Source organism: Homo sapiens, chromosome 2, assembly GCF_000001405.40.
Source record: "Homo sapiens chromosome 2, GRCh38.p14 Primary Assembly".
Lineage (NCBI taxonomy): Eukaryota > Metazoa > Chordata > Mammalia > Primates > Hominidae > Homo > Homo sapiens.
Genome location: NC_000002.12, coordinates 47782591 through 47810121, shown reverse-complemented (window position 1 = coordinate 47810121; position 27531 = coordinate 47782591). Strand labels below are relative to the sequence as shown.

Below are 27531 nucleotides of genomic sequence, written 5' to 3'. Positions count from 1 at the left end.
ATATTGCTCTTATTGCTTAGTCGTGATTATGAAACATTTATTGGGATAGAATAAATGCAGGCTTGTATTACCACTAGGAATACAGATAGATTCAATTCCTCAGATGAATTTACCAGTTTAAATCTGCAACAGAAAAAGAGATGTTAAAATGGATGCAAATGAAATCCAAGTATCATGTATTTAAACTTTAAGACAGTTAGGTTGGTGCGAAAGTTAATTGCAGTTTTGACCATAGTCATTGATAAGTGAATGTTACTGTTGGTGGTTGAAATAGGTATCTACATTTTATTCAGTAGACATTAAGAGGGTTAATGTACTTCTATAAAAGAAGCAGTTTACATTTGCTTGCTAATTTCAGGTTTTTAAGAAGCAGTATAAAGTGATGTATCTACTTGTTTGTAAATTTTACTTCAGGTATTGAAATTACAAATCACGCAACTGCAACACTAGAAGGCAATCAGATTTTTAACAACCGGTTTGGAGGCTTATTTTTAGCATCTGGTGTTAATGTGACAATGAAAGGTATGTTGGAGTCTGCTATACCTATAAATATATGCAATATGCCATGAAAGATAATCAGAAGCCGTTTTATAACTTGATTCCTTATGTCACTCTCCAAGTTAGCAACAGTTTAAGATAGATTTTGAAAGAAACAGAGCTTTGGTTCTAAATGGTTGGAGTATCTTATACAAGGAAAATTCTATTCTTAGCTGATTTCTTACAATTACTTCATTGGTTAGCTTCATTTAAAGCTCTTAAAAATAGTGGCTCTTCTGTTAGAATAATCCTATAATCTTTGGTTTTTAAAATATTAACATTCCTCTGAATTTTTACTTATTCTTTCTTTTATTACAGATAACAAAATAATGAACAATCAAGATGCCATAGAAAAGGCTGTTAGTAGAGGCCAATGTTTATATAAAATATCAAGTTATACCAGCTATCCCATGCATGATTTCTACAGGTAACTTAGAAATATATTTGAGTCCTGAAAAGAGGAAGACTGATTTCCTTTTTAAATTAGCAATGCCTAGCATTTTTGGCTATTTGCCGGTGTTGAGACTATAACTAACTGAAAATTTTATCATCAATCTACTTGAAGATCGTGTTTAAGACTGTAACTGTGGGTAGGCGTGGTGGCTTATGCCTGTAATCCTAGCACTTTGGGAGGCTGAAGTGGGAGGATCACTGGAGCCCAGGAGTTCTAAACCAGCCTGGGCAACATAGGGAGACCCTGTCTCTACAAAACAAAACAAAGACCATAACTATGGAAAAACCTAATGCTACAGTAACTGATGTCATTCATGTAACTCATGTTGTGTAATGTTTTCCTAGAAATTTCAAGGTAAAGATGTCGGGGTTAAGTGTTTGATATATCCCAGTCACTGTGACAGTTTTGACTCTTCACGCCTCCAAAAATTGTTTTCAGCCCAGAAACATTTGAGAGGCTTTTAAAGTGGAAAGAACTGCCTTTATACAATTTACAAATCATTTCTCTTCCCTCCGAAGACACAGATGACAGGAAAATCACTTACTCCATTAAAGTTCCTTTTCAGAATTAATCTGGGCTGGAGCCACAAAGAATTTTGTTTTGGTCCTCTTAAAGCCAAAGGTCATAGTAATATATAAACAGAATGGAATGTTTTGCATTAATGACATGTTTGAGAAAAGTAATTTAAGCTTTTGCTTTTTAGATGTCATACTTGTAACACCACAGATCGAAATGCCATATGTGTGAACTGCATTAAGAAGTGCCATCAGGGACATGATGTAGAGTTTATTAGACATGATAGGTATGTAGCACACTTGCTTGATATATTACCCAATTACTTTCCCCCTCACTTTTCTAATATTTGGGTTTCATTTTGCTTTAGGTTTTTCTGTGACTGTGGTGCTGGAACACTGTCTAATCCTTGTACATTAGCTGGTGAGCCTACACATGATACAGATACACTATATGACTCTGCTCCACCTATAGAATCTAATACATTGCAGCACAACTGAATTCCTTCCCTAAAGAAAAAGTCCTGCCATTGTAACATCATAACTTAAAACACTTTTTTGGAAGAAGATTTAAAATATTTGCCCATGCTACAGGAAGAGACTGTATTAAAAATGGATACACAAGGTCAGTTGACACTATGAAGCTCAAGCTACCAAAAAGAAAGTGGCAATATATTGACTCAGGATCTCAAAGCTGGGTGTTTTAGCATTACTGTGTAAAGACTTGAAGGGACAGAAGTGAAGAAAATAAGCTGCAATTTTGTACAGATACCAACTTCTGAAAAGCTGGTGTTTTTACAACTAGCATTGAATGCAGTCCAATTTGCAGTAGTAATCTTCAATAGACAAGCAGCTTTGTTGCTGCCTTTATGGACATGGGTACCAATTGCTTTTGTAATATGGTAAAAATGTGAGCTAGCACTTCTGCGTTCCTTTTGATTTTTTTTTTTTAACATGTATTCAGATTGAGAAATATGATTTTAATGCTTTAATCTCATGTAGTTTGTTTTTAATTTCAAGCAAAATCTTACTGTACTTGAATGTGCCCTGTTTTGTTAGCACACCTAGACTTGCTGTAACTGTACTCATGTCCCAGTATGTACGTTCTTTCTATGAAAGAGAAAACACTAATCTTAAATTATATCCAGCAATGTTTCTGGTATCCTTTAAGAAAAGTTAAGACTATTATTTCCTTCCCTTCCCTGTGCAGCATTCAAAATCACCCCTAGAAAAAGTGAGTGTTTTAATGAGACTTCCTAGGAAGGGATGCACTGTAAAACAAAAGTATTCTTGTAACTCAGTTTTGTGAAAGGTAAAAAACTACTATGTTTTAAGTACACTTTAGAAAGTCTCTTCAAAACAAACAGTCCTGTATTTGAACTCTGTTCATAGTTTTTTTTTGAACAGTTTAGACAAAACTGCTGGAAATTAAACCAATTTCCTGCATTAAGCTGAGACAAGTATATATACAGCCCTATACAGTTTCATAGCTTTTCCTCCCCCATTTATGTGTATTGGTGACAGTGGGTATAAAACAGCCTGAAAGTGTATGCATGTACCATAACATCTAGACTTAATATATTGTGGAGTATTCAATAACCATTATGTAGAAGGTAGATAAGAATTAAAAGGGTTTAATTTCCTAGAAAGAAAATGGAAAAATGGTCATTTTTAAAAAATAAAGTTTATTAGATCATAATGTTGTCTGAATTTACCACCTTTGTCAGAAGTCAACTCAAAGCTTCCAATGTAGTCAGTCTATAATTCCTTAATCAAAGTCAGCAATTTATGGACAGCTTCAGCATCTACAGTTGACCTTTCACTAGCCAGGCAAACTTCCCTTAAAATTAAAAAAAAAAAAAAAAAAGTTTTTTTGTTTTTTCATAGTGCATCATCCCTTCCCCTTTTACTGTTTCTTTGAAACTTAAGGTCAGTTAGTTATAATTCCATTATAGTTAGTTAGTTACCGAAATAATCGTAGTGACTGATTCATCTTCTCAAATTCTCTTGCTTTTCTATGTCCCTTTTGAATAACTTCCTCTGGGAGATTAGCAAGCCTTGCTGCATTAAAGCCATAGCTTTTAGGACAAGCTCCCTTAATGAATTTATAGAGGAACGTAATAGTCTCCTGGCTGGGGTCTTCACATTCATTTTCTACCATGCATGCCTTAAGAAAGAAAAATATTAGCGATACATGTGCTAGCAAGAGAAGTGCCCTCTCAAAAAACCGAATTTGTGGAAAAAAACAATTTGCACATACCATATGTCCTAGGCGCACAGCAACATTTTGAGAATAATCTTCTACTAATGAATGGTAGTGAGTTGAAAATAATGTACGACATTTTATAGTCTCAGCAAGTTCTTTAACAACTGCATTTGCTATTGCCGTCCCATCAAATGTTGCAGTACCTCTTCCTGTTAAAGTAAAATATGCATAAGGAAGTAACTCAAAGGAATTAAAACAAAAAAGGAATTAAAACAAAAATGCTAGGACAGAAAAGCAACATCGGTTAGTACATCCACGTCTAAAAGCATTCTATAAATAGGCCTTGTTTAGCTACACGAGTCTGCTTAGCAGCCCATGGGGAGTGAGGTTTCTTTTAAAGAAAATACAGTATCGCTCAAGGTCATAAACTTCCTGAGTCCTCCTATTAGTGTTCTCATCCCCGTAGTATAACAAATGTTTTATTACAACTAAACAGTGTAAGGCCTAATAATTAATGGGTAATCAAAAACCTTTCACAATATCACCTTTTATCTCCAACTATCGGTCTGTGCCACAATGGTGAGTGCGTGCTCTAAAAACATTCATATTGTTTAAATGTACTTCAGATAATCTTCTATAAAAATAGTTATTTGTACAAATGTTTTTAAGATAGATAGTCTTCAAATGAGAAGTTTAATGTCTTACCTAATTCATCCACAAGCACCAGAGAATGTGCTGTTGCATGCATGAGTATGCTGGCAGTTTCACTTAATTCAACAAAAAATGTACTTTCACCTTAAAAAAAAAAAAATCACAAATGAATACTCATTTTGCAAATCATATTACATAAATTCATCTTCTAGGTTATATAGCTATCATGAGCTACACATATTGGTATAAAAGATTAAATCTCATTAAGAGACTATGCAATTATTGGCCGGGCACGGTGGCTCACGCCTGTAATCCCAGCACTTTGGGAGGCCGAGGCAAGCAGATCACCTGAGGTCAGGAGTTAAGAGACCAGCCTAACATGGTGAAACCCCGCTTCTACTAAAAATACAAAAAATTAGCTGGGCGTGATGGCATGCGCCTGTAATCCCAGCTACTCGAGAGGCTGAGGCAGGAGAATCACTTGAACCTGGAAGCAGAGGTTGCAGTGAGCCAAGATCGTGCCATTGCACTCCAGCTTGGGCAACAAGAGGGAAACTCCATCTCAAAAAAAAAAAAAAGAGAGAGAGACTATGCAGTTCTTAAAAAGTGATGTTTTTAAAGTAACACCAGAAAAATCAAATATTAGATTTAAAAGGCTCATATACAAGAAGCAAATATCTTTTATCACATCTAAATGACTGAATGAGAACTTAAGTGGGAAACAAAAAACTCACCTGACATTATTCTGTCTGAGGCACCAAGTCTAGTAAACACTCTATCAATTGGTGTGAGCCTGCACACTTCAGCAGGGACGTAACAACCCATCTGGGCCATTACAGCTAATAAGCCAGCCTGTGAATGAGGGAGGAAAAGGTCTTTTATGACTGGTAGTAACAGTTTCATAAACTTTTGTCTTTCTTATGAACCCTTACGTAAGAGCTAGGCACTCTAAAACAACTTTCACAATCACATGTACGTTGGTTCTGTTCTGAAATCCATTTGCTAACATGGAGAAAGTTGAGGCTAAGAGAGACAAGAGGCATAGGGCCTCACCTGGCCTTTAAAACATCAGAGCCTGCTTACCAACCCACTACCCTAGTGATTCTCAACGCTGGCCAGAATAGAATCACCTAGGAGCTCTTTAAAACTACTGAGATGCCTAGAATCAATTCCAATCAAGTGAATCCATGTCAGGATGGAATCTCTGCACCTTTTTTTTTTTTTTTACACGTTGTCACATTCTTTCAGGTGATTCTGATTTAAAGAAAAAGTTTGGAAATCACTATACACACTATACTGCCTCTCTCTAGCAAACTAGGTGAACAGAAGTATACTATAATGCAGGAGAGCAGCGGGGACCAGCCAACTACTACTATTTCTTACAACCTTTTAAAAATATAAAAAACTTTACAAGTTCTGTGGCTGGTCAACCCCTGGTTATAAAGAGAAGATAAATACAATGCCATAAAAAATTTTTTTAAAAATGAGCTAGGCATGATGGTGTACATCTGTAGTCCCAGCTACTGGGGAGGCTGAGGCAGGAGGAAGGGTTGAACCTGGGAGTTCGAGGCTGCAGTGAGCTGTGATGGTGCCACTGCACTTCAGCCTTGGCAACAACAAAAAAAAAAGGGCCAGCATGTCATCCCTAAAGAGCAGTTTTCAACAGTTGCTAGAGGTCATGAACTATATTTGCTTTCTTACCTCATTTGCATTTCTGCAAATGAGTCTAATTTAAGGATAAACCTGTAACATTTTCATCTTTTCATACAGCCTTTGTATTTTTGTTCACTATGAATATACCTACCTTCTGAGGAAATGAATTCAAGTCAAAGGGCCTCATGACCTGAATGACTGACCTCCTTCCCCTTTTTAACATATATTCCCCTTAACATTAAGCATCGATGTTTCAGCTAAATATAATTCTCAATTTTATAACACAGGGAGTAATTTCCCTTTGCTTCCTATTAAGTCACTGGCTGACTTTTATGTAACTGTGTTTGGAAAATGATCACCTAAGTATGTTATTCCTAATGTCACAAATGACTTTCTGATAACAAAACTTTAAGAATCAGTTACCTGTCTCATAAGCGTAGACTTGCCCCCCATATTTGGTCCAGTAACAAGCACACAATAGGCTTTGCCATTTTCCTGCTCCTCTTCCTCACAGCCTATTAGAATGTCATTAGGAATAAAATCATCTCCAAAAAAAGTCTTCGTAATGCAAGGATGGCGTGATCCTTTAAGCTCTAAGAAGGGGGGGGTATCTTCCGGCAACAGAATTACTGGGCGACACATAGGACCATCACCCCCTCGACTATAGTTAGCCAGGCACAGTAAAACATCTGTTAAAAGAGAGGGTAAAAGTGAGGCTTCATCGTTTGGGGGTTTTATCAGCCTAAGTGTTTTATAGGTCTTCTTTATATAACACATTTCATTATAAGACATAACTTTCAATTACAGTCCAACGATCTCCCCCATCAAAATACTTACCCTCTAACATCTGGACCATAGAAGTGCCAAGGGAAAGCTAAAAGATAGAGCAGAGGCCAGGCACGGTGGCTCACGCCTGTAATCCCAGCACTTCAGGAGGCCTAGGCGGGCAGAGTTCACGAGGTCAGCAGTTCAGGACCAGCCTGACCAACATGGTGAAACCTCGTCTCTACTAAAAATACAGAAATTAGCAGTGCCTAATACACGTGGCATATGCCTGTAATCCCAGCTACGCAGGAGGCTGAGGCAGGAGAATCACTTGAACCTGGGAGGCAGAGGTTGCAATGAGCCAAGATCGCACCAATGCACTCCAGCCTGGGCGACAGAGAGACTCTGTCTCAAAAAACAAAACAAAACAAACACAAAACAGCAGAAACATGCTACACTTAAGCCTCTTACTTAGCAGAATGTGCCAAAGTTGGCACACTGATATGAAAACAATCTCTGAAGACTGGTTTTTGAACACCTGTGCTGAGGAAGAATTTTAAATTACCCAGTAACCAAATGCAGCACACTAAAAGGAAGTATATTATTCTGTTCCATTAGATACTTGCGTTCAGATCAAAATAGTTTTGTGTTACTGTGTTACAAATTCAAGTAAACTACCATTATTTAAAAAAAAAAAAAAAAAAAAAACAGGGCTGGGCGCAGTGGCTCATGCGTGTAATCCCAGCTCTTTCGGAGATCAAGGCGGGCAGATCGCTTTGAGGTCAGGAATTCAAGAACAGCCTGGCCAACACGGGAAAAACCCTGTCTCTACCAAAAATACAAAAATTAGCCAGGTGTGATGGTGACCACCTGTAGTCCCAGCTACTCAGGAGGCTGAGGAAGGAGAATCACTTGAACCCAGCAGTTTGAGGCTGCAGTGAGCTAGTCATCCCATTGTACTCCAGTCTGAAAACAGCAAGACCCCGTCTCTAAAAAATTAAAAAAAATATACAACATAAACCTAAACTATAAAACAGCAATGGTTCCAGGTAATGTTGGCCGTGACATTTAAAGAACAAAATTGCTTATGAAGTTGAGATGGTTGCCAAATTGTAAATTCCTAACTCAGGGCTTTGAAAAATCAATTGTAGGAAAGAATCTTTGACAATTTGGCTACAGAAAAAAGGAATGATTCTTTTAAAATTGTATGCAGATGGATTCACTGAAATGCAAAGGTTGTAATAAAACAATTTTTAAATGTTGGATCAACAGATAGTGTAACAAAGCACCTTGAAACAGTATTCACCAAATAATAAAAAGCTCAACTTTTTATTGATAAATAAAATTCGATCTAAAATAAAGCCTGTCTCATGAAGTATAACACATTTAAAAATCTTTTGGGCCGGGAGCGGTGGCTCATGCCTGTAATCCCAGCACTTTTGGGAGACTGGAGGATCACTTGAGGCCAGGAGTTCAAGACCAGCCTGGGCAACATAGGGAAGCTTCAACTCCCTTCCCCCTTCCCCCACCAAAAAAATAAAGCAGGGCACGCCGGTGCTTACCTGTAAATCCTAGCTACCTAAGAGGCTGACACGAGAGGTCTGTCCTGGGTAACAGAGCAAGACACTGTCTAAAAACAAAAACCTTTTGTTCGATTATTAAAGACTGAAGAAAGGGCCAGGCGCAATGGGTCATGCCTGTAACCTCAGCACTTTGGGAAGCCGAGGCAGGAGGATCACTTGAGCCCAGGAGTTCAAGACCAGTCCTGGCAACACAGTGAGACCCCATCTCTCTACAAACATTTAAATATTAGCCATGCATGGTGGTGCATATCTGTAATCTCAGCTACTTGGGAGGCTGAGGTGGAAAGATCACTTAAGCCTGGGAGGTCGAGGCTGCAGTAGCCATGGTTGTGTCACCATATTCTAGCCTGGGCAACAGAGCAAGACCATGTCTCAAAAAAAAAAAAAAAAAAAAAAAAACTGAAGAAAGGCCAAAGGGCTACTAAGATAAAAGCGAGTTTCAAGTAACTTAAATTGCTGTGGGCAGCCTAGTCAGGATGCAAATATGTATATGCATGTCAAAATATGTACCATATATACCTTATTACTTATTTTTAGGGATAATATACAGCTGGCAAACAGCACTACTTATCAAAGCCTGAGAACAAGCTTGTTCAAAGTCTTACCCAACACTGCGATACACTCTACAGCAGACTGCCAGTCCTTGTAATTTTTATCAAAGTTATAGAACAGTCGCCGCATGCAGTCCTTCAATGATACATCCCTCCGTTCTTCAGCATTTATGAGATTAGCCAACTTCTTTTCAATAGTTTTGGTCCAGTATCGTTTACAGCCCTTCTTGGTAGATTTCAACTCGTATTCTTCTGGCAAATTGCGAGTGGTGAAATTCTCAGGAATTTCCAGCTGGTAACGGTTCCTACCAATCCCCCAATAGACTATGGTCCTACAGCCAATTCTGTTGCGCTGTTTCTCTAGGTATTCCAGGAGGCTCTGTTCATTTTCTCTTATGTCAGCAAGAGCTTGGTCATAATCAGAGTCAAAGCCTGCTTTGGGAGTAATAAGTCCAGTCTTTCGAGCCTTTTCATGGTCAAAGGCTGTATCCCATCGGTTCAATTCTACAGTCAAATCAGGAAAACGACCTTCAGGATTTTTTGTCTGCAGAGAGATGACCTGCTTAAGGATTTTAGACTTAAAACCATCAGCAACTTCTTCCATGATCCCTATAATTTTACACATTACTTTGAATCCTTCCAGAGCAGAAAGAAAATCAATAATCTTCTTCTTGCTGTATGTAGTTTCTTCATACATTATAGCCCTGCTGTCTGGGTGGTTCTGACTCTTCAGGGGAGACCCAACATTATGAATTTTACTGAGTAGCCTCTCAAGATCTGGAAGCTTCTTTAGAAGCTCTACAACTTCGGAGATTTTGTCAGGCACAACCATGAGGTCTTCTATGGCATCTAGACGATCATTAATAGCATAATGGTTACAGAGTGGGGCACAAAGCCATTGCTTTAGGAGCCGCTTACCAAAAGGAGTATGGCAAGTATCAACCCTCTCTAGTAGGGTTCCTTCAGTAGAACCATTTGTTCCATTCAGAAAAATCTCCAAGTTGTTTAATGTCACTGCATCTAGCACCATTCGTTGATAGGCTTTGGTGAAGATAGCACCAGATCTTGTAGTGCTGACTGTGTCAGAATCCAAGGGAATATATTCTTCAAAATTAGCCATTGATAAAAGCTCCTGATCAATAAGGCATTTTTTGAGGTAGAAGACACAACCACCTAGAGCAGAGAGGGCCAATTCACTTTTCTCTCCTGGTGTCAACCCAATGGAATCAGACTCTGAAGTCATACCTTTAAGCACCTGGGGTAACATCACCCCAATGCCATCACTTAGCTTTTCCCTAAAATATTCTTCCTCAAGGAGAGTTCTCAAAGTTTTGGATGCATCCCAAAACTGGGAGCCGGGTATCAGACCTTCCTGAAGAGAACAGGACAATGAACTCTTTAGAATTGTTTTAGTTTCCTTTGAGAGATTTCCTTTTTCAAATAAAACTTGTACTGGGGGATAGTGTGCCACTAGAGTCCTAAATCTCGAACAATGGCGATCATCTGAAAACTGACCTATGAAAAACTTTCCCAGTGAAGTATCAACAAAGCACACACCATATGCACGAGTATGGCCAGAAGAATCTTCCTCTTTTTCTTTGAGGCTAAGAAGATACTTACTGTAGTTCTCAGAGGGATCACCTTCCAGCACACTGTAAGTCTGTGTACCCTTGGTAATGATCCTACAGATCTCCCTCCTCACCACTCTATCATACTTGGATATATGTGCCATCTTTCTACATCGTGCCTCCATCATTTCTGGAGTCTCAGTCTGTTCCACTCGTGCTACTTTATAGCCCTTCTGCACCAGGGAATCTGAATAACGGCCAAATGCAATTTCAGGAAAGCCAGAATGGGCCCAGTTGCCTTTCATGAATACCAGCCCCAGTTCACTGACTCCAATAAGAGCATCCATGTGGTACAGCTCATAAAATTTCCCCACCTTGTAACAGATGACAAGATCAAAGTTCTGAGACTTAATCTGCCACCACTTCCTCATCCCAGGAGTACAAGAATTGAGGAAATCCTCAGGCACATAGAGTGTAGATGCATCAAAATCGGGGTGATCAGGCCTCCTCCTGTGCTCATCTCTTCTCTTTTCCTCCTTAAGCCATTCTAAAGTTTCATGATACCAAACAGTAGGGCGACTACTGTCATCACCACCTCCACTAACGTGGGCTTGGGATTCAGAATTTTGAGGGGCAGAGAAAGCTCTCAAAGTATTCTTGGTTTCTGATGAAATGCTAGTTGCTTGTTTGGTGGCTGAGGGCGTTTCCTTCCTAGAGCTTTTCCTTTTAAGAGAGCCATTTCCAGTCACCATTCTCTTCCGCTTTCGAGCAACTTTGACAGGGCTGTTCAGGCCTTCACTCTCACTATCCCCCACTCCACTGCTTATTTCATCACTGCTTCCTTCCTCCTTAGTGTCTGGCTTAAATTCCACATCAGAGCCACCAATGTCACTCTCAGAATCTGATATGACCCTTCGTTTTTTTATTTGGCGGCTACTTCGCCTAGATCCTTGTGTCTTAGGCTGTACTTCCTCTTCACTCTCAATTTCATTATCTTCTTCACTCTTATCTGTTACGTAAGTTGTGCCTACCTGCCAGGCAAGGAAAGAGTATTTAAAAACAAATCAAAATTTGGAAAACCATAATGTAAGACAGTTCAACTTATGATTTTTTGACTTTATAATGGTACCCGTGCAGCCACTGTTTTTCATTTTTAGTACAGTATTCGATGAATTACATGAGATAGGCAATTCCTTATTATAAAATAGGCTTTGTGTTAGATGATCTTGCCCAACTTTAGGCTAACATTTAAGTGTTCTGAGCACGTCTGAGATAGGTTAGGCTACGCCCAAGCTACAATATTCGGTGGGGTAGGTGTATTAAACACGTTTTTAGTTTATGTAACCCCATCATAAGTTGTGGATGGGATAACCCCATCTGTACTACTGTAAATTCTCTTAATATGCTGCAACTTCATATGCCAAAAAAAGAACCCACCTCTAGAAATTAGAAACCTCTCAATGAACATCAACTTCAGTTTCACTTGACATTAAAACAATTGTCATTTTCCATGCCAATAGTTCTCCTGCAAACGTGGTGGAAAAAAAATCTCTGGACTTGCTGTAAGTGTAGCAGACACCAACCCCACAAAGTGACATAATACAAGAAGGGCAAGGATTCTCTGCCCAGGGAAAGCAGCATTATGAAGGAAGCAGAGTGGGTATGGGGGGTAAGTCGACTCTGGCTAAAAGACTAAAACTATAAAAAAGATTGTGCTGAGGCTTGAGTTTGAGCTCATGTGCAAAATCCAAGGGAATGCTAGCTATTAAGAGATGCAAGCATTTTGAACTGGGAGGAGGTAAGAAGAGACAGGCAAAGTGATCCAGTTCTAAGCCTCATCTTTTGTTTTACTATGAAGACAATAACATCTTGAGGTTATGTTCAAAAACACAAAGTGCTGCACCGAGCACAGTAGCAGGTGCCTGTGGAGAAAATCGCTGAGCCCAGAAGTTCAAGGCCAGCTCGGCAACATGGTGAGACCCCACCTCTAACTACAAGATTAAGTGATTGCTGCCATGGGAGTTCTATTTATGACAAAGCTGTTGGCATGACCATATATCATAAATATCAGGAGGCGATATGCTCATTAATAGCATAAGAAAGCAGTAAGCAACTTATACTGGTTCTAGTGTTTGCTCTTCCACAATTGGCTGTCTCATCTCAGGCCTAGCACATTCACATATCACGGATCTCCCGGATTATTTGTTAAACCAGTATTAGGCTAAATGATCTCTGTAGCTGCCATCCAGTTCTAGACCTCTGATAATGTTATGATCCTTAGTTTCAACCTTAAAATTAAAATACCCACTTTATTAACTTGCTCATTCCCTATCTTATCTATTGAAAAAGGAACAAAACATGAAACTGAGCTTAGTTATAGATGAATGTCTTTTAGGATGCAGCTCATTAATATGATAGATCAGAGGATAATGATCTTTCAGCTTCCCTGGGCCACACTGGAAGAATTGTCTTAGGCCACACATAAAATACACTAATGCTAATGATAGCTGATGAGCTAAACAACAACAACAAATCACAAAATGTTTTAAGAAAGTTTACAAATTTGTGTTGGGCTGATTTAAACGCCATCCTGGGCCACAGACTGGACAAGCTTGTTCTAAATTAATCAATTTTTTTCACTTCTATAACATTTTTTGTTGTTGTTGACAGTCTTCTTGCTCTGTCACCCTGGCTGGAATGCAGTGGTGCGATCTTGGCTCACTACACCCTCTGCCTCCCAAGTCCCTCTGCCTCCCAAGTTCAAGCAATTCTCATGCCTCAGCCTCCCAAGTGGTTGGGACTACAGGTGTGTGCCACCACGCCCAGCTAATTTTTGTATTTTTTATAGAAACAGGGTTTCACTGTGTTGGCCAGGCTGGTCTTGAACTCCTGTCCTCAGGACATCCAACTGCCTCAGCTTCCTAAAGTGCTGGGATTATAGGCATTAACCACCACACCTGGCCCCTAACAAGTTTTAATTCACTTTATCCATGACCATTAACGTTTGAGCCAAGGTTGTATTTCAAGGTTTATTTAACATCTATTCTTATGAATGCAAAATACAACAAAAAAAGTTTTAGAATTAAAAGCATAAAGCTGGGGCTGGGTGCTGTGGCTCATGCCTGTAATCCCAACACTTTGGGAGGCCCAGGTGGGCAGATCCCTTGAACTCAGGAGTTTGAGACCAGCCTGGGCAACATAGCAAGACCCCATCTCAGTTTTTTTATAAAAAGCATAAAACTGGATAATTAATTTCTAGGGCCTGACTATACCCTCATATATATATTACTCCATCTTTACTGTCCCTAGCTCTCTACTTCTTACCAAAATGGTACTACCTCTTGCTTACCCTGCCAGTAGGCTTGAAAACCTAAGTAAAAACGATGCTAGCTGTTGAGATTCTAAGTAACCTAACTTATCCTACAGTCCAGGGAACTACAGAAGTATGCATGTATGTATAATAAAATAATACATATACACACACATATATAAAACAAGGTATCTTGTTAATACACCCTCCCCCTTTCTTCCCCCATCACCCTAACATAAATAACAACTGAATGCTTGCCGTGTCCCACCTCCATCTCTTCTTCCTCTTCTGGCTCTGAGGGCTCATCACAAACTGCCAATTCAAGCCTCTTAATCTTGTCTTTATTTAAGGCTTCATCTGCACGTTGCATTGCTCTCAGTATTTCAGGCTTTGCACTGTAAAAATGACCTCCCTTCTGGGCTTCCTTTGATTTTGAACCTAGAAAGAAATGTATTTATAAACAATAAGGGCCGGGTGCAGAGGCTCACGCCTGTAATCCCAGCAGTTCAAGACCAGCCTGGGCAACATAGCAAACCCCATCTCTATCTTAAAATATATATATGCCAGGTGTGGTGGCTCACGCCTGTAATCCCAGCATTTTGGGAGGCTTAGGTGGGCGGACTACTTGAGGTCAGGAATTCAAGACCAGCCTGGGCAATGTGGTGAAACCCCATCTCTACCAAAAAAAAAATACAAAAATTAGCCAAGGGTGGTGGTGTGCGCCTGTAGTCCCAGCTACTTGGGAGGCTGAGGTGGGAAGATCACTTAAACCTGGGAGGCAGAGGTTGCAGTGAGCCGAGATTGCACCACTTCACTCCAGCCTGGGCGACAGTGCAAGACCCTGTCTCGATGAAAAAAAAAAAAAAAAATGTATATATGTATACACACACACACACACACACACACACATAAAATAACTTGTTGGCTGGACACTTGACTCAACCTACAACATTTGCCCTAATGAACAAGAATGACAAGTATAATTTGTTATGCCCCATTACTTTTTATTGATATAGATAGATCAATAAAGCACAAAAGGAATAAATATTCAGGGAAAAACTACTGGTGAAACTAAAATCACCAATTTTACCTCCTTGAAGGTGCCCTATGGGTTCACCCAGGACTACTTAGTCTGTCTTCTAATGACCTGGGTCTACAGCCCTAAACAGGTAGGGCATACCTCTTCAAGTGAGGCAGACGATTTAAAAGAGGTTTGAGAATCTTTCTTAAAAACTTACTAGCTGGGCACAATGGCTCGCACCTGTAATCCCAGCACTCTGGGAGGCAGAAGCAGGCAGATCACGAGGTCAGGAGTTCAAGACCAACCTGACCAATATGGTGAAACCCCATCTCTACTAAAAATACAAAAATTAGCTGGGTGTGGTGGCACATGCCTGTAGTCCTAGCTACTCGGGAGGCTGAGGAAGGAGAATCACTTGAACCCGGGAGGCAGAGGTTGCAGTGAGCCAAGATCGCACCACTGCACTTCAGCCTGGGCGACAGAGCAAGACTCCATCTCAAAAAACAAACAAACACTTCAGGAAGACAAAGACTACACTGTCAGTTACATGCAGCTATGATATTAAATATGAGTTTGTCCCAAAGACAACTAGATCAGATATATCTAAATAAATAAAAGAATAACCAACCAATGTGCTACTTTAAGGGGCCTTCACATTTTGAAAGGGCAGCCCAGTTCAGACTCAACGCGTTAAAATTTATTTCTCAAAACAGTTCGTTCCATCAAAATACAACTTTAGGGCTGGGCGTGGTGGCTCACACCTGTAATCCCAGCATTTTGGGAGGCCAAGGCGGGTGGATCACTTCAGGTCACGAGTTTAAAGATCAGCCTGGCCAACATGGTGACATCCATCTCTCCTAAAAATACAAAAATTAGCCAGGTGTGGTGGTGCACACCTGTAGTCTCAGCTACTAAGGAGACTGAGGCAGGAGGATCACTTGAACCCCGGAGACAGAGATTGCAGTGAGCCAAGACTGCACCATTGCACTCCAGCCTGGGTGACAAAGTGGGTCTCCATCTCAAAAAAAGAAAAAAGAAACTGACTCCCGGGTTCAAGCAATTCTGCCTCACCCTCCTGAGTAGCTGAGATTACAGGCATGTGTCACCATGCCTGGCTAATTTTTGTATTTTTAGTAGAGACAGGGTTTCACCATGTTGGCCAGGCTTGTCTGCAACTCCTGACCTCAGGTGATCCACCTACCTTAGTCTCCCAAAGTGCTGGGATTACAGGCGTGAGCCACCACTGCCTGGCCTTACTGATCTCTTTTTAAAAATCATTCTGGGCCAGCCCAGTGGCTCACACCTAATCCCAGCACTTTGGGAGGCCAAGGTGGACGGATCACTTAAGGTCAGGAGTTTGAGACCAGCCTGGACAACGTGGTGAAACCTCAACTCTACTGAAAAATACAAAAATCAGCTGGGCCTGGTGGTGGGCGCCTATAATCACAGCTACTTGGGAGGCAGAGGCAGGAGAATCGCTTGAACCCAGGAGGCAGAGGTTGCAGTGAGCTGAGATTGTGCCATTCCACTCCAGCCTGGGTGATAAAGCTGGACTCCGCTGCAAAAAAAAAAAGTAATTCTGCCAAATTTTTTAAATCTCGAAATTGGTCCTAAAAGAGACTTCATATATCATCTGGTTCAATGAGAGATCTTTTTACTTTATTTATTATTTTATTTTATTTATTTATTTATTTATTTATTTTTGAGATGAAGTCTCACTCCGTTCCCCAGGCTGGAGTGCAGTGGCGCGATCTCGGCTCACTGCAACCTCCGCCTACCAGGTTTAAGCAATTCTCTGCCTCAGCTTCACGAGTAGCTGGGATTTCAGCTTATTTTTGTATTTTTAGTAGAGACAGTGTTTCACCATCTTGGTCAGGCTGGTCTCGAACGCCTGACCTCGTGATCCACCCGCCTGGGCCTCCCAAAGTGTTGGGATTACAGGCGCGAGCCACCGTGCCCAGCCTTTTTTTTTTTTTTTTTTTTTTTTTTTTTGAGACAGTCTCGCTCTGTCACCCAGGTTGGAGTGCGGTGGCATGATCTTGACTCACTGCAACCTCCGCCTCCTAGATTCAAGCGATTCTCTTGCCTCAGCCTCCCAAGTAGCTGGGATTACAGGCATGTGCCACCATGCCCAGCTAATTTTTGTATTTTTAGTAGAGACGGGATTTCACCATGTTTGCCAGGCTAGTCTGGAACTCCTGACCTCAGGTGATCCACCTGCCTTGGCCTTCCAAAGCGCTGGGATTACAGGTGTGAGCCACCATGCCCGGCCCCAGTGCAACCCCAATGAGATTCATTCTAAATATAAGTAAACAGTATCAGAAAATAAGTTACTTTAGCCAGATCACCCAACTACTTGGGAGCCTGATGCAGAAGGATCACTGGAGGCCAAGAATTCAAGACCACCCTGGGGGCAACATAGCAAGACCGTCATCTCTTTAAAAAAAAAAAAAAAAAAAAAAAACTATATAAAAATTAGCCAGGTGTGGTGGCAGACACCTCTAGTCCCGGTTACTGAGGAGGCTAAAACAGGGGGGAATCACTTGAGCCCAGGAGTTCAAGGCTCCAGTGAGCTATGATCCCAACACTATACTCCAGGCTGGGTGACAGAGTGAGACCCCCATCTCTTGAAAAGAAAACGAAAAAGTTGGCCGAGCCCAGGGGCATGGTGGCTTATGCCTGTAGTCTCAGCACTTTGGGAGGCCGAAGTGGGCAGACTGCTTGAGCTCAGGCAGGAGTTTGAGACCAGCTTGGGCAACATGGCAAAACTGTGTCTCTATTTCTTTTAAAAAGATTAAAAGAAAAAACAAGTTACTTTGCTTGGCCAAGATTATGTGGCAAGTTGGTAGAAGAGAGAACAAAACTTCCCAATTCTCTTTCCACCTGTATGTCAGATCACCATTTACATTTAATTTTAGACAAAATGCCCCCAATCCTTTTTTGTAGGATGAGCACTATGACGAAAGAGTGTGATTCTGGGAATTTCCCAGTTACCTGGGAAACTGACCCTTGTTTGGATTTTACAACACCGAGTACGACAACGTACTAGACTGGAGACTCTTGGGAGGCCGAAATGGGCAGATCACCTGAGGTCAGAAGTTGGAGACCAGCCTGGCCAACATGGTGAAACCCCGTCTCTACTAAAAATACAAAAATTAGCTGGGCGGCTGGGCACAGTGGCTCACGCCTATAATCCCAGCACTTTGGTAGGGGGAGGTGGGTGGATTACTGGAGGTCAGCAGTTCAAGACCAGCTTGGCCAACATGGTGAAACCCCATCTCTACTAGAAATAAAAAATTAGCTGGGCTTGGTGGTGTGCACCTGTAATCCCAGCTACTTTAGAGGCTGAGGAAGGAGAATCACCTGAACCCGGGAGGTGGCGGTTGCAGTGAGCTGAGATTGCGCCATTGCACTCCAGCCTGGGCCAAAAGAGCAAAACTCCGTCTCAAAAAAAAAATATATATATATAGCCAGGCAACGTGGCGTGTGCCTATAATCCCAAGCTACTCGGGAGGCTGAGGTAGGAAACTCTTGAACCCAGGAGACGGAGGTTGCAGTGGGCCGAGATTGCGCCACTGCACTCCAGCCTAGGCAACAGAGTGAGACTCTGTCTCCAGAAAAAAAAAAAAAAAAAAGAAAGAAAGAGAACTTGTACAAGAGACGATGGGGTGCACCTAGCCCAAGTGAGGCTAAACATGCCAGGCTGTTGATGTCTGTGATAAACAAGACTAGATCTGGGAAAAGAAAGTTATGGTTCCAGGAGTTTGGTGTGAAACTCAACTCAGATGTGTTCATTAGTGAGTAGTTTGAAGGCCAGGTAGTGCGCATCTCCATCTTTCCCTAGAGAATGTCGCTATCTATAGGCTATGTATCCTGATGACATTAACTTTCTCTTGGACCCTTCAAGATGGGGGGACAGTTTAGTTTACCCTTATTAAGGGTATAATATTGCTGTAAGTCACTCAAAGGACAGAAATAAAAATTCCATTCCACAAAACAAACCAGCTAAAGACCATGTTACATCCCTTTCCCATGCCAGAAGCTTTCACAACTGCCACCCCTTGCAATTTACTGGGGTAAAATACACTTAATTTCATCATATAGAAAAAAGTCTGCCTGTCTGTCTGTTTCTCTCACACACACACACACACACACAAACACACACACATGGCAGTAGTGACTCTTACCTGTATATGGCTTTAAAAGCCTTTTGCTAACCCAGCCCCTTGTTGGGCTGTCATCAAAAAACTGTACATGAACACGGACTGATTTCCCTTTCTCGCGGATGAATGTTCCATCAAAGGGGTGGTTGTAAACCAGACAAGGCCACCAGGGGTAACCCTCCATCTTGGCCCAAACCAAATCTCCTGGTGAGAAGTCACAACTGTTGCCAAAAGGAAATACATAACTTAGTTAATATTTGGTCAAGTTTCCTTAAAGGCAGTTACCTACAAATAAACAATTCCAAGTCTTCTGGCATTAATATTGAAGCACAGAAATTCTAGAATAATTTTTAAAGTCAGATATTCAAGTCATTTAAAAAATGTATGCAAGCTGATATCATAATGCATATTTAACTATGAAGACAAACACAAATATAGTTATGTTATTAGGGTGAGAAACTTTCTCAGAATCAAAGTTTAAAAACCATGGCAGAATTTTGGTATAATGCTGATGGCAGGAAAAAGGCATGGACTCACTGTATATGCTCTCCAAATTAGTAGCACCTATACAATATGGTATGTACATATCAGAAACAGGATCTAACTCACAATATTATTATAAAGCATACTGATTACATAATTTACTAATTAGGTAAATTATCTAATTCATTAGACTTGCTTGGAATCTTTTTCCAGTTACACTCCTATGTATTCCAAAAGCTACCTAATACTCTATTACCCTCCCCCTACAAACTACGGAAAAACTCAAGTCAACAACTGAGGGCGTAACGTGCCTCCCCGGTTCAAGCGATTCTTGTGTCTCAGCCTCCTGAATAGCCAAGACTACAGGCACACGCCATCACACCTGGCTTATTTTTACCTTTTTTTTGTAGAGTCAGGGTTTTGCCATGTTGGCCAGGCTCGTCTTAAACTCCTGACCTCAAATGATTCACCCGCCTTGGCCTCTCAAAGTGCTGGGATTACAGGCGTGAGCCACCGCGCCTGGCCAAATAAAGTATTTTTAACATACAAGTTAAGCATTCTAGTTGTATTCCAAAGTAAATACAGTATGCTCAACAAACATATCCTTGGGTTCCAGTCCAGATTCAACCAACCTAGATTAAAAATTTTAAATCAAAAATTTAAAACCAATAAAAAACAGTGACCAGGTATGATGGCTCACACCTGTAATCCCAACACTTGGGGAGGCCGAGGCAGGACAGCTTGAGCCTGGGAGGTTAAAGGTGCAGTGAGCTGTGATCACTGTACTGTACTCCAGCCTGGGCAACAGAGCAAGACTCTGTCTCAAAAAAAAAGGAAAAAAAATACAAAATTTAAAATACAGCTGAACAACTAATTTCAAAGCATTTACATTCTATTAGGTATTGTACGTAATCTAGAGATAAAGTACAGGGGAAGATGTGTATAGGTTATATGCAAATACTACATCTCATAAGGGACTTGGACATCCAAGGATTTGGGTATTCACAGGGGGGTCCTGCAACCAATCCCCCTCAGATACAAAGGGAGGACTGTAACTTTAGTCTTAGAAAAGGGCTGTTACCTTAGAACTTTGTCATGTGTAAAATACAGTATAAATTGTTTTAAATGATGTATGAGGTCTCATGCTTTAAAAGATCATTAGAAAAGAATTATTTCATTTCTAAGCAAGCAATTAAAAAAATAATGTCTTCCATTTGTTTACAGGATAAATGTGCATCCTCACTAGGAAAAAAAAGTTTGTGTGAAAAGCTGGATCCAACCATTATCAGTTTTGAAATAAATTCCTTTCTGAAATAAAATATTAGAAACATAAGCATTTAAACAAAAAATTTTGTTTTTCAACATCATTTTATCCTTTATATACCATTACACTTACAGAATCTGACACATAATTTCTCTGCTGTTAAGAAATAGCAGTATGGGCCGGGTGCGGTGGCTCAGGTCTGTAATCCCAGCACTTTGGGAGGCCAAGGCAGGTGGATCACGAGGTCAGGAGTTCAAGACCAGCCTGGCCAAGATGGTGAAACCCCGTCTCTACCAAAAATACAAAAATTAGCCAAGTGCAGTGGCAGAGGCCTATAATCCCAGCTACTTGGGAGCCTGAAGCAGGAGAATCACTTGAACCCGGGCAGCAGAGGTTGCAGTGAGCCAAGAAAACGCCACTGCATTCCAGCCTGGACGACAGACTCCGTCTCACAAAAAAAAAAAAAAAAAAAAAAAAACAAAAAAAAAAAAAAGGAAGAAGAAAGAAAGAAAGAAATAGCAGTATGCTGGGCCGGGCGCAGTGGCTCACTCCTATAATCCCAGCATTTTGGGAGGACGAGGCAGGCAGATCACCTGAGGTCAGGAGTTCAAGACCAGCCTGGCCAACATGGCGAAACCCCATCTCTACTAAAAAAATACAAAAATTAGCTGGGCATGGTGGCAGGCGCCTGTAATCCCAGCTACTCGGGAGGCTGAAGCAGGAGACTCCCTTGAACCCGGGAGGTGGAGGTTGCAGTGAGCCCAGATCATGCCACTACACTCCAGCCTGGGTAACAGAGCAAGACTCCGTCTCAAAAAAAAAAAAAAAAAGAAAAAGAAAAAGAAAAAGGCTGGGCACGGTGGCTCACGCCTGTAATCCCAGCACTTTGAAAGGCCAAGGCGGGTTGATCACGAGGTCAGGAGTTCGAGACTGGCCTGGCCAACATGGTGAAACCCCATCTCTACTAAAAAAATAAAAATTAGCTGGGCATGGTGGCGGGCATCTGTAATCCCAGCTACTCGGGAGGCTGAAGCAGGAGAATCATTTGAACCTGGAAGGCAGAGGTTGCAGTAAGCCGAGATCGTGCCACTGCACTCCAGCCTGGGTGACAGGGCGAGACTCCATCTCAAAAAAAAAAAAAAAAAAAAAAAAAAGAAAGAAAGAATGAAAGAAAAGAAATAGCAGTAAGCTATAAAATGCTAAGACTAAAAATTTTACTAATATGCAGTTCCTCCAATGCTAAAAAGCTTGAAGAAAAAGAGTACCACTAAACATCCTGGACCCAGGAAACTGGTTTCTGAGTCAAAAAAGATAATTAAACAGGTAGTAAAATGTATTGTGTAACAAAACTAAAAATTTTAAACATTTCTCAAAATTTTTCTTCACTCACTGCTAACAAACCAAATTTTTTTTGTGTGTAAACCTGAATTCTTTAAAGGTAATTTTAAAATTTTATCCGTGGTAATCCTGCGGTTTTCAAGAATGCCAAAATAGGCCAGGTGTGGTGGCTCACACCTATGATCCCAGCACTTTGGGAGGATCTCTTAAGAGCCCAGGAATTCGAGACCATCTGGGCTACACAGTGAGACCTTGTTTCTACAAAAAAATTTAAAAATTAGCCAGGCATGGGGTGGTGTGCACTTGGGGTCCCAGCTACTCAGAAAGCTGAGGTGGGAGGATCACTTGAGCCGAATAGGTCGAGGGTGCAGTGAACCGAGATCTGCCACTGTACTTCAGCCTGGGCAACAAAGCAAAACACTGCCTGCCACCATTGCTCCTGCCCTCCAAAAACACCTTAAATTATGATTTTAGGATTTTGCAAGTGCTTTTAAAGCTTTAAGTGAGTCTTAAATGTCCGGTATTCTTGGGGTTTTTTAAGACGGTGGGGAAAAATGTTAAGAGGAAAAGCTGACAGCTCACAAAATAAATGTTAAAACTTTGATATAATAAGTAATGGCTTTGTCTAAACATACGCTAAACAGATCTTTTGAATTCTGGTTTAAAATCACATTATTTTTGCTTTCTCTTTAGCCCATAATTTTGATGTCAATTACTAGTTGTTCCTAAAATATATAATCAACATTTTCACCAACTTTTATTTTATTTTTTGGCAGACAGGGTCTGACTCTGCCACCCAGGCTGGAGTGCATGGCATGATCTCTTGGCTTACTGCAGCCTCAACCTCCTGGACTCAAGCGATCCTCCCATCTCAGTCTCCCAAGAAGCTGGGACTACAGGCACACGCCACCATGCCTGGCTAATTTTCTTATTTTTTGGAGAGACAGGGTCTAGCCATGTTGGCCTGCCTTGGCCTCCCAAAGTGTTGGGTTTACAGGCATGAGCCACTGCACCCAGCCTCCCTGTGGATTTCTTAAATAAAACCTATAGAAACACTAACCACAGAGAAAATAAAAGGACAAATTCCACATTATAATCAATAATTTGTTCATCGAAAGATGCCATAAGGCTGGGTGTGGTGGCTCACACTTGTAATCCCAACAGGTTGGGAGGCTGAAGTGGGAGGATCGCTTGAGAGCAAGAGTTCAACACCAGCCTGGGCAACAAAGTGAGACCTCTATTATTCAACAACAACAACAAAGCCATAAACTAAATGAAAGAACTCATTGTGAAAGAAGACATTTATATCACACACAAATGACAAAGAACTAGGAAAAAAAAAAGAAACAGCAAAAGACAAACACTTCAGCACAAGAAGAAATCTAAATGACAAACATTAAAAGATGCTCGGACAGACACGGTGGCTCACGGCCAGGTGCGGTGGTTCACGCCTGTAATCCCAACACTTTGGGAGGCTGAGGTGGGTGGATCACCTGAGGTCAGGAGTTCACGACTGGCCTGACCAACATGGTGAAACCCGTCTCTACTATAAACACAAAAATTAGCTGGGCGTGGTGGCAGGCACCTGTAATACCAGGTACTTGAGAGGATGAGGCAGGAGAATCGCTGGAACCCAGGAGGCGGAGGTTGCAGTGAGCTGAGACCACACCACTGCACTCCAGCTTGGGCAACAAGAGTGAAATTCCGTCTCAAAAAAAAAAAAAATACGCTCAACATGTTTTAAGGCTTAAATGATTCATGGAGTAAGTCCGAATGTCTCTGTAGCTCATCAGACTGTTCATGATTGGATCTCTGCTTAACTTCTCCAATGCTCCCTCCTCCTCCTTTCATCCTACCCACAATTTGCAGACCTTCCTCTTCCTGAACCAGCTTCCCACTCTCACTATAATCTGTCTAAGCTTATTTGTCCTTCTGGTTTCGGTTTACAGAGCTGAGAGCCTAGCCTGACCCGCATCCTCTCCGTCCCCTTTCCACTTGGAGTCTACAATTGCCTCTTTGCTTTGTCCTGTTCATGGTTGTATCCAGGATCCATAATGCCTAATGCTGTGCTCGGCAGAGTGATCTAGACACTGCAGTTTCTTTAGAAACCTAGTATCAAATGCCCATCTTTCTTGAATACCCTGGAATCCTCTCCATAACGGGAGGTGAAATGTATACGTTTTATTTTTACAAGTCTCTTAAACTCAACCTCAAGAAACAAATAACATACGCTATTCAATATGAATGTAAAGTACATCCTTACAATAAATACACCCGTTTGGTTTGGATTCAACAATCAATTCATGCTCAAGTAAACAATACGTCATGCTTTTCTAACCAGGAGTTTGTTATTGCGGATGCTGGCTCTGTTCCCCACAAGCATATTCTACTAATGCACAACTATATATATTTAAACTGCGGGAAAGGGTCGCTTAAACAAGGGTAACACTATAATTACACTTAGAAAAATCTCAGAATTCCTTTAGGACACTTTAAACTGGATTTAAATGGATTTGAAATCCATTACTCAAAACCACTAACTAGCGGCCGGGCACGGTGGCTCACACCTGTAATCCCAGCACTTTGGGAGGCTGAAGTGGGTGGACCACTTGAGGTCAGCAGTTTCAAGACCAGCCTGGCCAACATGGTGAAACTCCATGGTGAAAAATCAGCCGGACCGCGGTGGGCACACCCGTAATCCCAGCTACTCGGGAAGCTGAGGCAGGAGAATCACTTGAACCCGGCGGGCAGAGGTTGCAGTGAGCCGAGAAAGCGCCACAGCACTCCAGCCTGGGCGACAGAGCGAGACTCCATTTCAAAACAAAACCAAACAAAAAACACGAACTGGCTCTTATCTTGAATGAGTTATTTTTTCTGAGCCTTTATTTCTTCGTTTGTTCAAATAGCGACCATTAAACTTTGTGTTTAGTATCTGACAAACGGCCGGGCTCGGTGGTTCATGCCTGTAATCCCAGCACTTTGGTAGGCCAATGCGGGCCGATCAAGAGGTCAGGAGTTCGATACCAGCCTGGCCAACATAGTGAAACCCGTCTCTACTAAAAATACAAAAATTAGCCAGGCGTGGTGGGGCGCACCTGTAGTCCCAGCTACTTGGGAGGCTGAGGCAGGATAATCTCTTGATCCAGAGACAGAGGTTGTGGTGAGCCAAGAACGCGCCACTGCACTCTAGCCTGGACAAAAGAGCAAGACTCTGTCTCAAAATACATATATATGTATCTGGCAAACAGCAAAAGCAAGCTTTTCAAAATGTCGCCAGCTGCCCGGATAAAAAGCCCTAAACAGACCGGGCGCGGTGGCTAGCGCCTGTAATCCCAGCACTTTGAGGCCGAGGCGGGTGGATCACCTGAGGTCGGGAATTCCGAGACTAGCCTGACCAACATGGAGAAACCCCGTCTCTACTAAAAATACAAAATTGGCGGGGTGTGGGGGCGCATTCCTGTAATCCCGACTACTCGGGAGGCTGAAGCTGGGGAATCGCTTGAAGCCGGGACGCGGAGATTGCGGTGAGCTGAGATCGCGCCATTGCACTCCAGCCTGGACTTGAGCGAAACTCTCTCTCAAAAAGGAAAAAAAAAAAAAAGCACTTAACTGCCCATAAAGTGAGGACAACTCCCGACAGGCTTCCCCGGAGTCACTCACGTCCACACATCTTTGTCCAGCGCCCGATTAAGGCCTCTAAAAGCCCAGTGGTGCCCCATAAAAATTACACTATTTCATAAAATAAAATATTTTCCACTCGACACGAATTTCCACATACGTCAAAATATTCTATCTTCGTCTCGGTGCACGTGCAGCCTACCTACCGAAGGACCCAGCCGGATCCCAGCACTTCGGCTCCCCACGGCCCCGCCCCGCCCAATTAGGCCCCGCGGTCCCCATGGTGACACACCCCCCCGCGCTCGCAGCTCGTGGCCCACCCCCTCGGCGGCCCCTCACCTAGGCCGAAGGCCCACCGTCCCCAAGGCGTCTCGGCGACCGCGGCTCTTAACTACCTCTAAGTGTCTACCTCGATCGACTACTGGAGCCCCAACTCACTATCTCCGCGCCGGCCGAGGAACCTCCTTTCGCACCCCACACCACCGGACTCTCCCCGTTCGGCCTCCCGCAGGCATTCCTCCTTCCCGCCACCCCGCCCCCCGCCCCGCCCACCAAGTGGGCCGGGCGCCTTCCCCTTCTCGCCCCACCCCCAGTGCTCCCACCTCCCAGGCCCCCTCCCCACCCGGAGCTGCGCGCGTCGCCCCTTCCTTAGCCCAGCACCCCCACCTGGCGGGACGCGTCTCCTCCCTCCAAAAGGCCCGAACTCTCCGCGTCTCCCCTGCAGCCCTCTTCCTGCACAGCCTCTCTCCTCCGACCCTGTTTACAAGCTACACCCCCAAATGCTCCAGACTCGACCCCTGCACTCATTCAAGCCAACTCTGCGGCCCCGCCTCCTCCGAGCCCAGGGCCAGGCCGTGCACCCCCCCAACCCCCTGTGCGAGCCTCCCCTCGCCGGGTTCCAAGCGCCCCGCCGCTATGCCCCCGCCTTCGACCCCACCCCCACCCCGCTACCTGGTGGGGGCAGCAGGCGCTACCGATCTCCGCAGCCCTCCGTTGAGGTTCTTCGCCTTGGGCGGTGACGCGGAGCGCGCCAAGGGCCTGGGCCCAGGCCCAGCCTCGCTCCAGGCCGCATCCCCGCCTGGGGAAGGAGAGGCCCCGGGGGCAGCGGCGGCACGGCCGCCTTCGCGTGAGGCCCTGGCCGAGGCCTTGTTGGCATCACTCAGCGCCGGAGACTTGGGGAAGAAGCTGTACAGGGTGCTCTGTCGCGACATACCGACAGCCGGCAAGGCCCAACCGTTCTGTCGGACGGAGCTCCTAAAAGCACCGCATCTACCGCGCGGCTCCTGCTGGCGGGAAATCTGGGGGGAGGCGCGCTCCGCCGGAGGAACCCGGGCCCCAGTGGCCAATCAACAGGCGCCTCGCCGTGCGCGGGCGGTGCGCGCCAGGCCCCGCCCCCGGGCGCGCGGCGACGTGGGGAAGGGCGGGGCTGGCACACTGGTGGGTAGGGGCGGGGCTGGCACGCTGGCGGTGAGGGGCCCGCCCTGCCGCCGACGCCTGGGCCCCGCGCGGGGAACTGCTGAGCTCCCCTTCCCTCACGCCGCGGGGCTGGCCGGGCCGGAACACTCCGACCCGGGGTTAGTTGCGGCCGCGGGGCTAGCAGGCTCGGAAAGCCCTGCCTCTCTGGAGCGGAAGCGGGAACAGCGGGGGCGCGCACCGCCCGGGCGGGGATAACCGGGGGGACCCGAAAGGCCTCGGAAAGGGGCTCGCGGGGAGAAACGCGTCCAGCGCTCGCGTGACCTCCTGCCGTTAGAGCATTTTCGCAAGGAGACGGAGCGAAAGGGACCAAACTTTAGTCAGCAGTTCACCTTCACGTTGTATTCTCAAGATTTGTATAGAGTAGGCACTTGGTAAACG

The 27531-nt window shown here is 43.2% G+C and overlaps 2 protein-coding genes and 1 pseudogene across 58 annotated transcripts in view, besides 3 other annotated features; 2 read left to right on the top strand and 1 right to left on the bottom strand.

The window, feature by feature from the left end:
• FBXO11 (F-box protein 11) overlaps positions 1 to 3202 on the top strand; it is a 99579-nt gene extending 96377 nt beyond the window's left edge. For 6 of the 11 annotated variants that reach the window (XM_017005015.2, NM_001190274.2, XM_047445922.1 and 3 more), the window contains exons 20-23: positions 415 to 522; positions 856 to 964; positions 1695 to 1793; positions 1875 to 3202. In XM_017005015.2, coding sequence (XP_016860504.1) covers positions 415 to 522; positions 856 to 964; positions 1695 to 1793; positions 1875 to 2004 — 446 coding nt within the window. In that variant the 3' untranslated portion in view covers positions 2005 to 3202. Of the gene's footprint in view, positions 1 to 414; positions 523 to 855; positions 965 to 1694 lie in introns of all 11 variants that reach the window. The other 5 variants (XM_005264573.6, XM_005264572.6, XM_017005016.3 and 2 more) reach the window with 1 other exon arrangement.
• MSH6 (mutS homolog 6) lies at positions 21 to 26977 on the bottom strand. Of its 47 annotated transcripts, none has more exons than NR_176259.1 (12): positions 26629 to 26977; positions 18999 to 19195; positions 14059 to 14228; positions 8967 to 11511; positions 6437 to 6702; positions 5095 to 5212; positions 4415 to 4504; positions 3764 to 3918; positions 3471 to 3670; positions 3222 to 3343; positions 1536 to 1599; positions 21 to 123 (listed from the first exon to the last, which is right to left on the bottom strand). NR_176259.1 is itself a non-coding variant. In NM_001406826.1 (12 exons), the coding sequence occupies exons 3-12, from the start codon at positions 24716 to 24718 to the stop codon at positions 3262 to 3264; spliced, it is 3915 nt and encodes a 1304-aa protein (NP_001393755.1). In that variant the 5' UTR covers positions 24719 to 24849; positions 25155 to 25250; positions 26017 to 26169; the 3' UTR covers positions 3169 to 3261. The 47 variants fall into 47 exon arrangements, 42 of the variants coding, with proteins under 42 accessions (NP_001393738.1, NP_001393725.1, NP_001393734.1 ...); NM_001406826.1 differs by lacking the exons at positions 21 to 123; positions 1536 to 1599; positions 26629 to 26977 and adding exons at positions 24627 to 24849; positions 25155 to 25250; positions 26017 to 26169 and having other exon boundaries at positions 3169 to 3343; NM_001406809.1 differs by lacking the exon at positions 1536 to 1599 and having other exon boundaries at positions 3219 to 3343.
• RPL36AP15 (ribosomal protein L36a pseudogene 15) lies at positions 11986 to 12364 on the top strand (annotated as a pseudogene).
• Positions 26195 to 26284: a silencer, noted in NCBI's record as "silent region_11469". NCBI's record gives its function as "represses an Ori minimal core promoter by ATAC-STARR-seq in GM12878 lymphoblastoid cells {active_cell/tissue: GM12878}" and the evidence as "EXISTENCE:reporter gene assay evidence [ECO:0000049][PMID:35858748]".
• Positions 26485 to 26644: a silencer, noted in NCBI's record as "silent region_11468". NCBI's record gives its function as "represses an Ori minimal core promoter by ATAC-STARR-seq in GM12878 lymphoblastoid cells {active_cell/tissue: GM12878}" and the evidence as "EXISTENCE:reporter gene assay evidence [ECO:0000049][PMID:35858748]".
• Positions 26925 to 27404: a silencer, noted in NCBI's record as "silent region_11467". NCBI's record gives its function as "represses an Ori minimal core promoter by ATAC-STARR-seq in GM12878 lymphoblastoid cells {active_cell/tissue: GM12878}" and the evidence as "EXISTENCE:reporter gene assay evidence [ECO:0000049][PMID:35858748]".